Below are 2,349 nucleotides of genomic sequence, written 5' to 3'. Positions count from 1 at the left end.
TGAAATGCAAAGAAATGAAGTAACTCAAAGCACAAAGCCATCTGCAACAGAGCCAGTATCTAAACTTAGGTCTTTCAGACTCTAAAGCTTGGAGTCTTGCCAATGTACTACACTTACTCCCTCGTGATTGAGTAATTATTGAGAGTCTTAGGTTCATGACTGTTGAGGGATACATACATTGTTGGTTGTTTCCAGCCTCCTTGACTGCTGCTGAAACCCTTTACCTACCATTCTAAATGGTTTCATCCTTTTGGTTTTGGGAGGGTGTGTTTCGTTAGTGTCTCCTTTCCATTTAGAGGCCTTATTTCAACTTACTCCTTTATTAGTGTGGAGTGAGATTGTTTTCTGATTCACTCTTTCATATTCCAGATGAAGGAAAAGAGGGAGAAGAAACCAGCTGCCTGGAAGACTGACCCTCTGAGATGCTCTGGAGCCGTGCAGTTGTTCTCACTGGCAGATCAGTCCTGTCCCTCCAATAAAAGAGAGGGTGATCTTGGTGTGAGATGTTCTCTTTTGAAGTGTGATCAAAGCTTTGAGCTCAGGGATTGCTTAGCAAGGTGGAATTCTTTCTTTCTCTTGAGAGTTTAAATGACCTCTGTAATTGATAGGCATCGTAGTCACAAAATGAAGTTTTGAAGTGGAGAAGATAAAAGGTCACTACCTTGGAAAATAGTGAGAATTTCTTTCCTTTGGTGTTGCCTTCATTTCACACTTGATAATTCTGTAAGGTTCTGATTGTCACCCTGCAGCAGTTTCCATATGACTCAGAAAAAGCCCCCAGGCTCTTGCTACCCAGCTTGAGATCATTAAAATGCTTGAGTGAACTTTGGAGTTCCTGTCTGTTGAATAGAGATGACACTGACCAGAGAGGGAAACTTACGTAGGAGGTGTGTCTGGGTCAGGCATCAAAATGCTGTGGAATTGTCTCAAAAGAGAAACACTAACATTTTGCAATGCTTTCATAGGGGCATATTCAAGAATTCCAAAGCTTCTTGAATTTGACATGTTTTTTCTTGATTTGCCTTAAGTATTTCCACATAAAAATTACTTGATGATATATTTGAGCTTTTGATATCTTACAGCACATCTCAGGAAGGTGGGAAAATACCCAAATTAGGAGAAATAAGCAAAGTTTCTTAACCTTTAAGCGAGAATTTGCAAAGAGTTTTGTTTTGTTTTATTTTCTGAAATGAAAGCAGGAAAAAAAAAATCAAATGATGGAGAGTCTGAAGTTCCTAATCCTGAAAGCCTCTACCCACATGACCCCTAAAGGCCTTCAGAGTTCTGATGTCGTGAAAATGACTCTAACAGCCTTCATACTTAACTATGTGATTCTTATTCCTCTTTCTGACTGAATCAATTCATTCATTTTGGCTTACCTCTTTTTGAGGATAATGGTGTGGAACTAAAACATTTTTCATTTACTAAATGGATTTTACTTGAAATATGTACTCCATTAATTTTCCCAATAATATATAGGTCATACTATTAATTACTGAATGTCGTGGGATGTCTTGCTTTGGTGATAAACTAGATACATAAGTGTTTATTATCATTTCTAAGTAGCTGTTCTTCAAACTCTTCAATAATTCCAATACTAACTTTCCTTCTTAATTATGCTAGAAGAGGTAGAGCAGAAAGCTATGGATTTATTATTAGGAATTAAAATTTAGAGTCTAGAGATTCTCAAATCCATTTTCTATAATAAACTAAAATTGATAGAACAAGGTAGTTCACTAATACAAATGAGGACTGTCAGCATTCCAATTTCTGGCTAAAATTCAAAGGACTAAAACATTTCAAAAAGGCAGTGGAGTTTATTCCAATGTAATAAAAATAAATCCTTTCTCTAAAGAATGAGAACATTAAACATCTGTGATGCTTGCTGGAATTCTGGATTTAAGTCTATAAGACTATGACAGGGATCATAAACTCAAATGTCTACAGGGCCAGGTCAGAAATATTCATCTTGGCTTGTGAGAATGGAGGTGAACCAGAGTTCTCATACCATCAGAAGGGGCAGCTGCAACTTGGCTTTTGCCGGTTGTTATCATTCGGAAATGTGAATCTGGCCTTGTTAAAGCTTTCACCTCTTTAAGAGAAGCCATAAATCCAGATTTGTATGAGAAAGTTCTTGTATCCTTGGCCTAGACTTTCACAGGACACGTTATTTTATCTTTGATATTATCTCTGCATCTCAAATAGCTATTACCAGGGAAACAATAGTGTCTAACATTGGCTACATGAGTCAATAATCTGAACTTCCTCCAAGGCAGCCAATAGAGAGGGAATTATTATTCAATTGATTAATTTTGTTATAAAATAAACTCTTTTAAAAACAATCTAACA

General features: G+C 36.7%; 2 annotated features.

Moving 5' to 3' along the window:
* Positions 332–975: an enhancer, noted in NCBI's record as "NANOG hESC enhancer chr11:109734840-109735483 (GRCh37/hg19 assembly coordinates)". NCBI's record gives its function as "activates a minimal SCP1, AML or CMV promoter by ChIP-STARR-seq in naive H9 embryonic stem cells {active_cell/tissue: H9 hESC(naive)}" and the evidence as "EXISTENCE:reporter gene assay evidence [ECO:0000049][PMID:30033119]".
* Positions 598–747: an enhancer, noted in NCBI's record as "active region_5493". NCBI's record gives its function as "activates an Ori minimal core promoter by ATAC-STARR-seq in GM12878 lymphoblastoid cells {active_cell/tissue: GM12878}" and the evidence as "EXISTENCE:reporter gene assay evidence [ECO:0000049][PMID:35858748]".

This window comes from Homo sapiens, chromosome 11, assembly GCF_000001405.40.
Source record: "Homo sapiens chromosome 11, GRCh38.p14 Primary Assembly".
NCBI classification, from domain to species: Eukaryota; Metazoa; Chordata; class Mammalia; order Primates; family Hominidae; genus Homo; species Homo sapiens.
The sequence above is the reverse complement of the archived record's forward strand: the minus strand, read 5'-3'. Positions and strand labels throughout refer to the sequence as shown.